The 14,294-nt window shown below is 47.5% G+C and overlaps 2 annotated features.

Moving 5' to 3' along the window:
* Positions 1,992–2,547: a transcriptional cis regulatory region, noted in NCBI's record as "candidate enhancer chr14.1538 targeted for multiplex CRISPR interference". NCBI's record gives its function as "positively regulates NEK9 gene expression in K562 cells {active_cell/tissue: K562}" and the evidence as "EXISTENCE:mutant phenotype evidence [ECO:0000015][PMID:30612741]".
* Positions 8,919–10,599: an enhancer, noted in NCBI's record as "VISTA enhancer hs1657". NCBI's record gives its function as "enhancer in: somite[7/7] | heart[7/7]" and the evidence as "EXISTENCE:transgenic organism evidence [ECO:0001131][PMID:17130149]".

Consider the following 14,294-nt stretch of genomic DNA (forward strand, 5'->3'; position numbering starts at 1 on the left):
CCTGTAATCCTAGCACTTGGGGAGGCTGAGGTGAGCAGATCACCTGAGGTCGGGAGTTCGAGACCAGCCTGACCAACATGGTGAAACCCTGTCTCTACTAAAATATACAAAAAATTAGCCAGGTGTGGTGGCATTTGCCTGTAATCCCAGCTACTCAGGAGGCTGAGGCAGGAGAATCGCTTGAACCCAGGAGGTGGAGGTTGCAGTGAGCTGAGATTGTGCCATTGCACTCCAGCCTGGGCAACAAGAGTGAAACTCCGTCTCAAAAAAATAAAAAAAGAAAAGAAAAGAAAAGAAAGGGGGCTACTGAACTCAGCCTGAAGTGGGGCAGCGGTCAGCAAAGTCTTGTGAATGAATGGTGAGTTACCAGGAAAAAGGGTGAAGAACAGTATTCCAGGCAGCAGCTGCACGTGTAAAAAGCATGGAGTGGTGAGAGCAGAGTGGCTCAGCCTGGGCTGAGGATGAGGAAGCCGGTGCTGTGACTACAGAGGAAGCCAGAAAGAAAGCAGGGGACAGACCACGAGGACTTTGCATGTCATACTAGTTTGTTTCTTATCATTAAAGCCATGGATCCCTCCTCCCTAAATGAATAATCCCACCTTTTTCCCTTTGTTCCCACAGTCCTGGGAGGAGGAGTAGCTGTTTCCTGCAGTTGCTGCCTCAGTGATACCTCAGTGTTCTCTTTGTCATTTCACTTTCCAAGTTGAAGTTAACAATTCTTTTTTGTTTTGGACCTAGTAAACAATTCTTTATCTTAAATTGACCCTGTTACAATGTGTTACAATAGCTGGTGTGATTTCAGTTCCCCGTCTGGACCTTGACTGAGAAAGGGCCCTTGAGAGGTTTTTGTTTTTGTTTTTGAGACAGTTTCACTCTTGTTGCCAGGCTGGAGTGCAATGGCACAATCTTGGCTCACTGCAACCTCCGCCTCCCGGATTCAAGCGATTCTCCTGCCTCAGCCTCCCGAGTAGCTGGGATTACAGGCATGCACCACCACGCTCGGATAATTTTTGTATTTTTAGTAGAGACGGAATTTCTCCATGTTGGTCAGGCTGGTCTCAATCTCCTGACCTCATGATCTGCCCGCCTCAGCCTCCCAAAGTGCTGGGATTACAGGCGTGAGCTATCGCTCCTGGCTGAGAGATTTTTAAGTAAGAGGAGGCGTGCCGTCAGATTTACATTTTAGAAAGTTGTCTCTAGGGGCAATGGTGGAGAACAACGACTAGAAGCAAGGAGCCCACTGAGGCCGTGGTTCCCGTGTTACAGGGGAGATACAGCGGCAGCCAGAATGCAGAGGTGGAAGGTAGATGGGAAGGAGGGGATACAGTCAAGAGATACTAAGGAAATAGAATTAACAGAAGAGGGAGATCAAGAGATTTGCTTATGCTTCTGGGTTTGCAGGACATGCCATTTACTGGGGCACAGAATATAGAAGAATTAGGTGTGTGTCAAGAAGATCCATCATTCTGTTTTGTACACGTTAAGTCTAAGAACCACCAGGTGGAAATGGAGGCAGCTGTGTATGCAGATGTGTGGGCAGAAGAGCCAGGCAGATGGATTCGGAACTCAGCAGGGTATGGCTGTGGTTGAGGTCATGCAGAGAGCATGGTGGGTGGGGGCACTGACGGCAGAATCTCCTAGAACCCCAACATTTAGGAGATGAGCTGAGAAACAGGAACCCTAGATTATCTGGAAGAGAAGCTTGGGAACTACGAAAGTGTTCAGAGGGAGGATCAGGCAGGGCACTTGTCAGAACAACTGCAGTCTGGGTACTCAAAGGAAGGAAACTTCTCAAAGGTGTGTGTTTCAGGCATGCAGATACATATGCATTTTTAAAGTCATTCCTTCTCTTAAGTTTGGAATATTGAGGAAAAACTCTTTCACATCAACCCTGGTGCCACCAGGCGACCTGGCCCAACCCTTCACTGTTGTCCAAGTGCGTCAGGAGAAGCCACCTGGCCGGAAGGAGCCAGGTGGAGCAGAGGGCAGCCAGTCTTATAGTCAATAGTCAGTGATAAGGCCAGATGTGTGGCAATATCAAATAATCAAGAACTGGCGTCATCCCCAGACAGCATGCTTAACTGTCTTCAGTGAGGAGACAAGGAAGGGGTGGAGGGGTGTCTCAGATGCCTGGGAGGGGAAATGGGAGGGAGCTCGCATTTGTGGAGTGGGCCAGGCCCTGTGCTAGGCTCTTTCCATGTTATCTCCACTAACCCTCCCAACAGCCATGCCTGTTTCAAAGATAAGACAGATGGGGCTCCAAGAGGTTAAATAATGTGCCTCAGGTAGTAACTGAGTGACCTAGGATTTGAACCTGGAAGGCCAAAGGCCATGCTGTCTCAAGGGAGCCCTTGGTCACCAGTTCAGTCAATCTCCCTGGTGAAGGTCCGTGTGCTGTAAGTTTGGGCATGGATACAAACCTTCCCATTGAAGCTTGATATGAGTGATGGCTCAGCGCCCAATCAGCAGCCAGATTAGGTGTTCTCCATGAGTGGTTTGGTGCTAGCACTTGCTTCCAAACCACACTTCCTGTTCATCTTTCACACCTATTGTCTCACTGCTGGGTTTCTTGCCAAATGCCTCCCTTGCCACTCCCAGTATGGGGGCAGAGTGACTAGGGAACAGCTTACAATGAGGAGTCTGTCAGACCTCCTTACTTTGCAGACGTCCTAAACACCTGATGAGCAACCACCAACTACTGAGGAGAGCCAATTTGCACCCAATTTTTGAGACCCTAAAAGACACTCTTTGAGCCTGATTACAGGTCAAATACTGGTAATAGCTAAAGGGTGGCTTTCTGTGTGCTGAGCCTTGAATTGTCTGCCTAACATGCATTGTTTCATATAATTCTTAAAATAACCCCATGAGGTGAGTGCGATTATTACACCCATTTTGCCTACAAGGAAGCAGGCTGAGAGAAAAGTGTCTACACCCAGTAAGCACCAGGAATGTCTGAATCAAAGGCAGGGAGAGGTGCCTGCCAAGCCCCGCACTTCCTTTCTCTCCCTTCCCCTAAGGCCTTTGGCTTAGATACGCTGATCCTTGAGAAATCCCTCCTCTCTCTTCCTTCCTTCCTTCCTTCCTTCCTTCCTTCCTTCCTTCCTTTCTTTTTTCTTCCTTTCTCTCGCTCTCTCTCTTCTTCTTTCTTTTTTTTTCTGGAGTCTCGCTCTGTTTCCCAGGCGTGATCTTGGCTCACTGCAACCTCCACCTCCAGGGTTCCAGCAATTCTCTTGCCTCAGCCTCCTTAGTGGCTGAGACTATAGGAGTGCGCCACCACGCCCAGCGAAGTTTTGTATTTTTAGTAGACATGGGGTTTCACCATGTTGGCTAGTATGGTCTTGATCTCTTGAGCTTGTGATCCACCTGCCTCAGACTCCCAAAGTGCTGGAATTACAGACACGAGCCACCGCGCCCGGCCTATTCAGGAGCTTTTACCCCATAAATCTTCTTACACATAGAAAAATAAAAAGTTCTGTCCCTTGTTACAGGTATTTTATATTATCAGTGGCGCCAATAAGGTGGGTGCATGTGTGTGCACACATGCGTGTATATGGGTGTGTGTGCACACCTGCATGTATATGGGTGTGTGTGCACACATGCATGTATGTGTCTGTGTGTGTGCATACACATATGTGGGGGTGGAGTAGGAATCAGGCAAATCAACCTCATAGACCTGTTCCCTGTTTCTGGGGTCATATATGGCTACAGTGACTATGTTTCTGAACCACAGGCCAGGCCACATGTCCTGGCCATTGCAATGGTTGTTGAGGGGATATTACAACAGTGAAACTGATACCTGCCCATGAGATACAGAGGCTGTTGGCTAACAGTTCAGCAGATACACTGTAGCGTGCTTTGGAGACATTCTAAAGGCCTCTGAGAGAGACAATGTCTTGCCAAGAGTTGAGGCCTGAAACTTGACAGCTGCCCACAGCCCATTTAAGGGTTAGTGTTACTCGACACAATTTTAAAGACATTGTCATGGAGGATCTGATATTCTCAGAACATTCAAGAGAAATGTTATAGCCTAAAACCAGAGGGGAAATCTGAAACCATATCTTCTTTTAGGGGCTACTATAGAATTCATTAAATTAATAATTAAATCTATGTATGTACATACAAAATGTTATGGACAACTGAGCCAGCCCTACACACACACAAGATGTCAGAAAGATTACCTCTGGCCGGGCACGGTGGCTCACACCTGTAATCCCAGCACTTTGGGAGGCCAAGCTGGGTGGAACATCTGAGGTCAGGAGTTCGAGACCAGCCTGGTAAACATGGTAAAACCCTGTCTCTACTAAAAATACAAAAATTAGCTGGGCGTGGTGACTCCCGCCTGTAGTCCCAGCTACTCGGGAGGCTGAGGCACTAGAATCGCTTGAACCCAGGAGGCAGAGGTTGCAGTGAGCTGAGATCACACCACTGCACACCAGCCTGGGCAACAGAGTGAGACTTGGTCTAAAAAAAAAGAAAAGAAAAGAAAGAAAAAGAAAAAGAAAAGATTACCTCTGTTAAAAATACTCAGGCAGTAGAGATAGCAGCCAATTTTGGGTTTGCATGACATTAATTCAACAAGCATGTATTACTTCCTACCTATTAGCTCCCAGATACTTGGTACCACGCCCAAAGAAGACTGGGCCTGGGATTGCAGTGACAGTAGGGTGGCAGATGTGTGGGGGATAAGTATGATATGGTGTAGGGAGGGTTATAATACTGATGAGTGCAATGTGCTACAGAATCCAGAAGATGAAGAATTCTTGGGAGGGGTGGTGGTATTAGTTTCCTACTACTATGTAATAAATTACTACAATTTAGCAGCTTAAAGCAACAACAATGTATTATCTCACAGTTTCCATGTGTCAGGGGTACAGGTATGGCTGAACCAAGTCCTCTGCTCAGGGTCTCACAAGCTGACAATCAAGGTGTCTGCCGGGTTGCATTTCTTTCTGGAGGTTGAGGTCCTCTTCCAGGCTCACGTGATTGTTGGCAGAATTTAGTTTCTTGCATCTGTATGATTGAGGCCTTTGTTGTCTTGGCAGCTGTCACCAGGGGCCACTCTTATCAACTAGAGGCTTCCCTCAAGTCTTTGTCACATGGCCCACTTCACACATCCTCTCATAAGGTGGCAGCTTTCTTCTTCAAGACTAGCAGGAAATTCTCTTTGACTTCAGGGAGGATCCTAGTCCCTTTTTGTTTTCAGGGTTTTATTATTTATTTATTTTGAGATAGAGTTTTGCTCTTGTTGCCCAGGCTGGAGTGCAATGGTATGATCTTGGCTTGCTCCAATCTCTACCTCCTGGGTTCAAGTGATTCTCCCATGTCAGTCTCCTGAGTAGCTGAGATTACAGGCATGTACCACCATGCCCAGCTAATTTTGTATTTTTAGTAGAGATGGGGTTTTACCATGTTGGCCAGGCTGGTCTCAAACTCCTGACCTGAGGTGATCCACCTGCCTCGGCCTCCCAAAGTGCTGGGATTACAGGCATGAGCCAGCGTGCCTGGCTATTTATTTATTTTTGAGACAGGGTTTCACTCTGTCACCCAGACTGGAGTGCAGTGATGCGATCACAGCTCACTGCAGCCTCGAACTCCTGGGCTTAGGCCATCCTCCCGCTCAGCCTCCCAAGTAGCTGGGACTACAGGCATATGCCACCATGCCTGGCTAATTAAAACAATTTTTTCTTTGTAGAGATGGGGGTCTTCCTATGCTGCCTCAGCTGTTCTACAACCCCTGGGCTCAAGAGGTCCTCTTGCCTCCCAAAGTGCTGGGTTATAGGCATAAGCCATCATGCCTGGCCCCTAGTCCCTTTTTGAAGGTCTCCCCTAATTAGGACAGACCTAGCCAGACTAAACTCCCTTTTGATTAACCCAAAATCAGCTGATTAGGGACCTTAATTACATCTGCAAAATCCTTTTTACCATAATCAAGAGAGTGACATCCCATCATATTCACAAATGCTGCCAACACTCAAGGAGAGGGGATTATGTAAGATGTGTATACCAGGAGACAGAAATCTTGGAGGCCATCTTAGAATTCTGCATACCATGTGCGAGACGGGGAGAGGGAAGGGAAGGGGAAAGTGCCAGGGTGGGTAACCTTTGAGCTGAGTACTGAAGAATGAATTTAAGTTCTCTAGGCTGCCAAGAAGGGAGACAAGTGGGTAGGAGAAAGGGCAGAGAGGAAAGAACATTATGGAAAGAGAGATGGGGCCGGGTGCGGTGGCTCATGCCTGTAATCCCAGCACTTTTGGGAGGCTGAGGTGGGCGGATCATCTGAGGTCAGGGGTTTGAGACCCTGATGGCCAACATGGTGAAACCCTGTCTCTACTAAAAATACAAAAATTAGCTGGGCATGGTGGTGTGCACCTGTAATCCCAGCTACTAGGGAGGCTGAGGCAGGAGAACTGCTTGAACCCGGGAAGCGGAGGTTGCAGTGAGCAGAGATTGTGCCACTGCACTTCAGCCTGGGTGACAGGGAGAGATTCCATCTCAAAAAAACAGAAAAAAAAAAAAGAAAGAAAGAGAAAGTCAAGAACAAAGTTTCTTCATGAACAAAGGGCATGAAGAAACCTGTTCAGTAGCAGCGGGGCTGTTCAGTGGGGCCAATGTTCAGTGGGGATAGTGAGACCAGAGGTTGAAAGCCGGTAGAGAGTACAGAAAAGGTGGACAGAATACTAAGACAAAGTACCGTGTACTTTCAATAAGCTCTTGGTCTCAACTCTTGGTGACTGTACAAGGTAGGCCAAAGACAAAAACTGTCCAACGACAGAAATTTCACTTTGAAGTTCCCTCCACTCCATTTCTCCACCCCCTTCCTTCCTATCTCCTTTAGCAAAGTCCTTTCCTCAGAGATCTCCCCCACCCCACCCGCCACAGCCCCACAGCCCTGTCGGTCTAGCAGGGTGAGTAGCCGCACTGTCTCTGAACCCTTACGCCTGGACTTTGAAGGGGGAACAGATTCTTGCTTACTGAGTCAGCCTCGGCTGCTTCCTTTTTGTGCTTGAAGAAGCCAAAGAGTGAGCAGATTGGAGAGGACTAAAAGAAGCCAGAGATGCTGGTCAATTGACACAAAAATAAAGAGCTAAGGGAGAGGTTGAGAGAGGGAGAGCAATATCTATGGGTGTCTGGAATTTTTAAAGGGCTCAGAGGAGGAGGGGGCCGGGCGTGGTGGCTCACGCCTGTTATCCGAGCACTTTGGGAGGCCAAGGTGGGCAAATCACGAGGTCAGGAGTTTGAGAGCAGCCTGACCAACATGGTGCAACCCCGTCTCTACTAAAAATACAAAATTTAGCCGGGTGTGGTTGTGTGCCTGTAATCCCAGCTACTCAGGAGGCTGAGGCAGGAGAATCGCTTGAACCCGGGAGGCAGAGGTTGCAGTGAGCCAAGACCGCACCACTGCACTCCAGCCTGGCGACAGAGCAAGACTCTGTCTCAAAAAAAAAAAAATAATAAAATAAAATAAAATAAAAATACAAAAATTAGCTGGGTGTGGTGGCACGCACCTGTAGTCCGAGCTACTTGGGAGGCTGAGGCAGGAGAATTGCTTGAACCTGGGAAGTGGAGGTTGCAGTGGGCTGAGATCACACCACTGCACTCCAGCCTGGGTGACAGAGCAAGATTCCGTCTCAAAAAAAAAAAAAAAAGACTTGGAGGAGGGAAAGGGGAAGTTCAGAGTGTGGCTTTGCTTGCTGTCAGATCCTTTTTGTTGCTTTTCTCAATATTTAAATAAAAATGGGAATTATTTTAAAAATTATTTTATTTTATTTTATTTTGAGACGGAGTTTCGCTCTTGTTGCCCAGGATTGAGTGCAGTGGCTCGATTTTGGCTCGCTGCAACCTCTGCCTCCTGGGTTCAAGTGATTCTCCTTCCTCAGCCCCCCGAGGAGCTGGCATTACAGGCATGTGTTACCACGCCCAGGTAATTTTTTGTATTTTTAGTGGAGACGGGGTTTCGCCATGTTGGCCAGGATGGTCTGAAACTCCTGACCTTAGGGTAATCCACCCATCTTGAACTCCCAAAATGCTGGGATTACAAGTGTGAGCTACCACACCCGGCCATTAAAAATTAGATTATTGTGTGTGTGTGTGTGTGCTCTCGCATGCGTGTGTATATTGTTTTGTTTTGTGAAAATGATACTGCACAGATCCTGGGCTATATGGGAATCCAGGATTTATTTGGGTTACCTTAAAAGGAAAAGGATAAATTATGGATACCTCCATGTGAAATAGTTGAATATATTACCACTCACTAAGGTGTTTTTTTTCTTCTTAAATTTTTTTATTTTTTATTTATTTTTTTTGAGATGGAGGCTTGCACTGTCACCAGGCTGCAGTGCAGTGGCGCGATCTCGGCTCACTGCAACCTCTGACTCTCTGGATCAAGTGATTTTCCTGCCTCAGCCTCTGGAGTAGCTGAGATTACAGGCGTGTGCCACCATGCCTGGCTAATTTTTGTATCTTTAGTAGAGATAGGGTTTCATCATGTTGGCCAGGCTGATCTCGATCTCCTGACCTCGTGATCCACCTGCCTCAGCCTCCCAAAGTGCTGGAATTACTGGCGTGAGCCACTGCGCCCAGCCCCCCACATTTTTTTTTTTTTTTTTGAGACAAGGTCTCACTGTGTCACCTAGCCAGGAGTGCAGTGGCACAGTCACTGCTCACTGCAGCCTCAACCTCCTGGGCTCAAGCGACCCTCCCGCCTCAGCCTCCCGAGTAGCTGGCCAGTAACTGCGCCTGGCCAAAACTTTTTTAGAGAGGCCGTCTCGCTCTGTCACCCAGTGGGCTGGGGTGCAGTAGTATGATTGTAGCTCACTGTAACCTTGAACTCTTGGGCTCAAGCAATCCTCCCACCTCAGTCTCCCAAATAGCTAGGACTATATGCACGCGCCACCATGGCCAGCTTCTAAAGTATTTACTTAAAAGGGAAGTCCAAGAACATAAACTTCCCAAAATTAATGTATAATAGTAGAATTTCAGAGGTCATAGTGTGGGATGACGGCTCTTTCCTAAAAACAAAACAAAACACAATCTTGTCTCATTCCATCTAGTTTGTACCTATTTATCTGGTCTCTGGTTCCTGGGGTCAGCCATGCTTCCTCCCTTGAAATTTGTATCATATCTGGTACAAAATGACTAACCTTTAACTGTGCATCTTTTGGGGGAAAAAATCATTCTGCCCTGTTTTCCCTCAAGCAGAAAAAGAACAAATCACCTGCTGCCTCGGCAGGACAGGATTTCTGCCAATCCCACCTGTAAGCAGCGTTCATGGCTTCCAGACAAAGTGGGGGCCCGGGGCCTGCAGAACAGTCGGCCACATTCACCAGCCTGTCTCTCCTCTGGACCTCTTGGCACAAGCTTTTACTCTCCAGACTGTGTGTGTTTGGTTGAATTGAAATAAACACAGCAGGATTTTGTTTTAGTTTGTTGTTTGTTTTGCAGAACGAGGTCTTAGAGGAAGGACTTCCCAGCCAAACTTGACCCCACACAGGCCAGAGAGAAGCGGTAGGGAGGGCGGCGAGAAGGAACTATGAAGTAAAATGGGGACTGGTGTGGGGACTGACTTCCTCCCCCAAAAACCTGGAACATTCTTCTCAAAGCCCCATGCCGCCAAACTTCCCAGCCATTCCCTTGAAATGTTCTCAGAGCAGGGCTCCACATGGCTCACATGTACACCCGTGCGTGTGTGTACCACACACACACACACACACACACACACACACACAGAGTTCTGTCTGGTAACAGATTGGGTCTGAAAAATCTGGCAGTCTGCGTGGCCGATGGCAGAGTGTCGAGCCTGTTCTCACTGTCTCCCTGGAGTCCCTGTGCAGACGCAGGTGCACGTCAGCGCCTGCTCTAATTTTATCCCTGGTTGATGGAGGAGACTAACTGAGCAGCAGGGAGGCTGCTATTTTGGGTCTCTCCATGGCTCTGGGTTATATAAAGCCTATTGCTGTGACCTGCATTGCTTTGAGGCTGTGCCTCACTGTCTTGCGTCCTCTGTCACAATATGTCATCAGTTCAGACATTCACACACACACACCCCCGGGTCTCTGGAAAATGAGAAAGGAGGTGTGTGCTGGAGGAGTGTGTGTGTGTGTGTGTGTGTGTGTGTGTGTGTGTGTGTGTGTTCCTGCCAGCTCCCTGAGGAATGAGGCCTACGTATGCTACTGGGAGGGATATTGTACGTGAAGGAGGTCTGTTCTTGAAGGAAATGGAAAGATCTTTCTGATGGAGGCACGTGAGGGTATGTGCTTTGGGCTTTAGCACAGAATGTGTTTGTAAGCTGAGGTTGTGGGTCTGCTGTTGGCATGGCAATAAGAATAACTTCTATTTCAGTAACTCTTTTCATTTGATGGAACCCAGGGGTTGCATAAATTACAAACGGCTCTGCCTTTGAACGACAGGAATTTTTCATCTGGAATTAGGAGTAGCAGCTACATGAACAAATGTGAGAGTGAGAATTTAGAGATGGGCTGATGACAGAAGATGGCATTTCCTACATCACTGAGGAAAATTTTCACCTGGAAATGTTGCCTTTCTGATTAAAAAAACAAAACAAAACAAAACTTGTTTCCTGCTATTGTGATTATCGTGTATTGTGTTAAGATATGTGTTTTCTGACCAGGCATGGTTACCCACACCTGTAATCCCAGCATGTTGGGAACCTGAGGTAGGAGAATTGCATGAGCCCAGGAGTTTGACACCAGCCTGGGCAACATAGTGAGACCCCTGTCTCTTAAAAAAAAAAAGATATGTGTTTTCTATAGTTAATCATATATGATATCTAAATTATCTTTGTATCTCCCCATATTGAGTGTGAGTATTTAAGGTATAAATTTTGATAGGTGAACATACAACAGAATCCTAATATAACACAGCTCATTATTGTATGAATTTGAAAGTACTAGGTTTCTCAAAATATAAATTATTCACAGGGAACAAGCCTAACATATCTCAGTGAGCTTATCAGACAGATATTCATCCTGTCCCCCCAATACCAGCAGGGAAGACATGTTCCGTACTTGTTGAGCTACGTGTCTCCCAGGTATAATCTCCCAGGGTATATTCTGGCTAACATGATGGAGCCCATAAGGCATCACCATGGGAATGAGGACTTGGCATGGACACCTCTTGGCTCGTGGAGACTGCCAGAATGTGAGGCCTGCGGCTGGGGCTCATCTTGCTGATTTGGGCTTCCCGTCACTGGCAGCTCCCACAGCAGGTGGCGTTCCCATAACTAGCAACTTCACTGAGCCACTATTTCTTAGCTGTTCTTTGAAAGACGTTGAAGACCCCTCTCTTCCACTGGCCAAAGCACTTCTAAGGGATTTTGGAGAGAAAAACTTGGGAGCTTTCCATGAAGAAAACAGAAGAATCTGGCAGCCGTTTCCATAGGGCTGAACAGGCACCTTAGAGAATTCCAGTGAAGAGGGCAGCTAAGGGAAGAAGGAAACAGAAACGGACTAGAATCAAAGTCAGGGCTCCTAGGGGCTGGATGGGGAAATGAAGCTAGGAATGGGGAAGGTATAGATGAATCACTGCGTCGCTTATTAATAATTAATTTAGGCAGAATCTTGCTACTCATGTCCTCCCCCCACCATGGCTGGGGGCAGGAGCTCACCATTCTGGCTCTTTAGTGGTCTGCTTGTTGCCTTCCAATGCCACTCCATCATGCTGTCTGTGTCCTTTCTAAAACACAAATCCTGTGATCCCACTGGGTAAGCCTGTTCCATGGCCCTTCATTTCTCTCTCTGGAGAAAACCTAAATGTTTTACCAGGTAGACAAGGCCCTCTGCAACCTGGGACCTGCTTATTTCTCTGGCTCAGCTCAAACTGCAATCCTCTCAACCCTTCACACCAGCCCTCTCCTCCTTCCACTCCTTGGCACATTTTTTTTTTTTTTTGGATACAATGTCTCACTCTGTCACCCAGGCTGGGATGCAGTGCGTGATCTCGACTCACTGTAGCCTCGACTTCCGGGGTTCAAGGGATCCTCCCATCCTCCCACTTTAGCTTCCCCAGTAGCTGGGACCACAGGCATGTGCCACCACGCCTGGCTAATTTTTCCACTTTTTTTTTTTTGTAGAGATGGGGTTTTGCCATATTGCCCAGGCAGGTCTTTAACTCCTGGGCTCAAGTGATCCATGCGTCTCACCCTCCCAAATTGCTGGGATTATGGGCATGAGCTACGGTATCCTGTCCTTGGCACCTTAAAGCTAAATGTGCTGAACTCTCCCATCCTCTGTGTGTTAGCATGCACCATTCCATCTGCCTAGAATGCCCTTCCTGTCACTTTTTTTCCCCTGAAAAATTCCAAAGCTTCTTTCAGGCCTCAACTCAAGCAGGATGTGTTAACTCCTCCACACCTGGATCAGGTCCCTTTCTACTCCATCTTTGCTCACCCTTGCTGCAGTGCTTGAATGCTCTGCAATCTTTCCTGGGGTTCTACAAGACAAGACTGCATTTCATTTTTTTTTTTTGTATTTTTAGTAGAGATGGGGTTTTGTCATGTTGGCCAGGCTGGTCTCAAACTCCTGACCTCAAGTGATCCCTTGCCTCAGCCTCCCAAAGTGCTGGGATTACAGGCATGAGCCACCCGCCCAGCCAAGACTGCATTTCCTTACTGGGCCTACTGCTCAGCCTGCCCAATAAGTTTTTGCCGAATGAATGAATAGGGGAAGAAGCCACATTTTTGAACTAAAGCTTTCTCAAATGTTGTGAGGGATAGGGTTTGTGGGAAATGACAGTGACATTGAAGAGGAAAGGCCAGGTCCTGGGAAGTCTGACCATGAGTAAAACCAGTGGGCCTGCAGTTGTCTGTCTCCAAAGCCTCAAACAGAAGGGCAGAGAATAGACCTGGCCTGTCCTGCCCACAGTTGTATCATGCAGGTAGCACTGTTGAGGATGGAACCATTAGTATGGTACCCATCTCACCATGGTGATCAGCCACCATGGATCAGCATCTTTCCAGCGGTTTTCCCACCATCTATGGCGGGGCCTGCCTTTTCCGCACTCCCATGCCACCACGCATCTGTGGGATAAGAGTAGAGAATTTTTATATGGACCTCCGTGTCCTTCCTGGAAGACAACATGCCTCCATCTATGTCTCCCGCTTGGTCAAGAAACTGCCAAGAAACTGCCAAGCCAGCTGTGATTCTACGAAGACCATCAGAACCTTGCAGCTCCATCCCACGGGCGGGTTGCCCTCTCTGCCCAGGCCACACCCTGGGTGAGGCTGGCCTTAGGGATCTGGGCACAGGAGAGGATTCAACAGGCTGAATGCCTAATACTTGACTGAATTAAACCGAGCCACCTTGGGTCAGGGAATTCAGCTCAGCAATTCTGGTGGTAGCTGACATCAGTATCTTTGAGGAAGTGGAGATAGGATTAAAAGAGACCTCATGCTATAAATCAGGTTCAAATGCATGGAGAGAGACTAATTAAATCCCTGATACTGCCTATATACACAAAGCAATTTTTTACAAGACAGTTAATCACCACTTAATTCATCTGTTTTAATATTTACATCTTCATTTATTAGGCTTTATTAAAGTAGGACCTAGCTTTCCTTTTTTTTTGAGACGGAGTCTCGCTCTGTCGCCCAGGCTGGAGTTCAGTGGCACCATCGGCTCACTGCAAGCTCCGCCTCCCAGGTTCACGCCATTCTCCTACCTCAGCCTCCCGAGTAGCTGGAACTACAGGCGCCTGCCACCACACCCAGCTAATTTTTTTGTATTTTTAGTAGAGACGGGGTTTCACTGTGTTAGCCAGGATGGTCTCAATCTCCTGGCCTCGTGATCCACCTGCCTTGGCCTCCCAAAGTGCTGGGATTACAGGCGTGAACCACCGCGCGTCGTCGGACCTAGCTTTTCTATACTCTGAAGGCATCACTGCCCAAAATATTTTCATTTAATACTGTGTCAAAAACTGCCTACTTATCTTCCAAAGACAGATCTGTGTGTGTGTGTGTGTGTGTGTGTGTGTACATGGACTGTTGTCCTAAGTCCTTTGTCTCCTCTTCTCAGAGTCTGCCCCATGATAACAGAATAATAATGATGTTATTCCAGAATAAACTTGCAATGTGGGGGCTCCGAGTGGTGGCTCATACCTGTAATCCCAGCACTTTGGGAGGCCGAAGTGGGTGGATCACACTTGAGGCTGGGAGTTCCAGACCAGCCTGGCAAACATGGTGAAACCCTGTCTCTACTAATGGTACAAAAACAAAAATTAGCCAGGCATTGTGGTGCATGCTTGTAATCCTTAAGAGGCTGAGGCATGGGAATTGCTTGAAC

The sequence above is a fragment of the Homo sapiens genome, chromosome 14 (assembly GCF_000001405.40).
Source record: "Homo sapiens chromosome 14, GRCh38.p14 Primary Assembly".
NCBI lineage: Eukaryota > Metazoa > Chordata > Mammalia > Primates > Hominidae > Homo > Homo sapiens.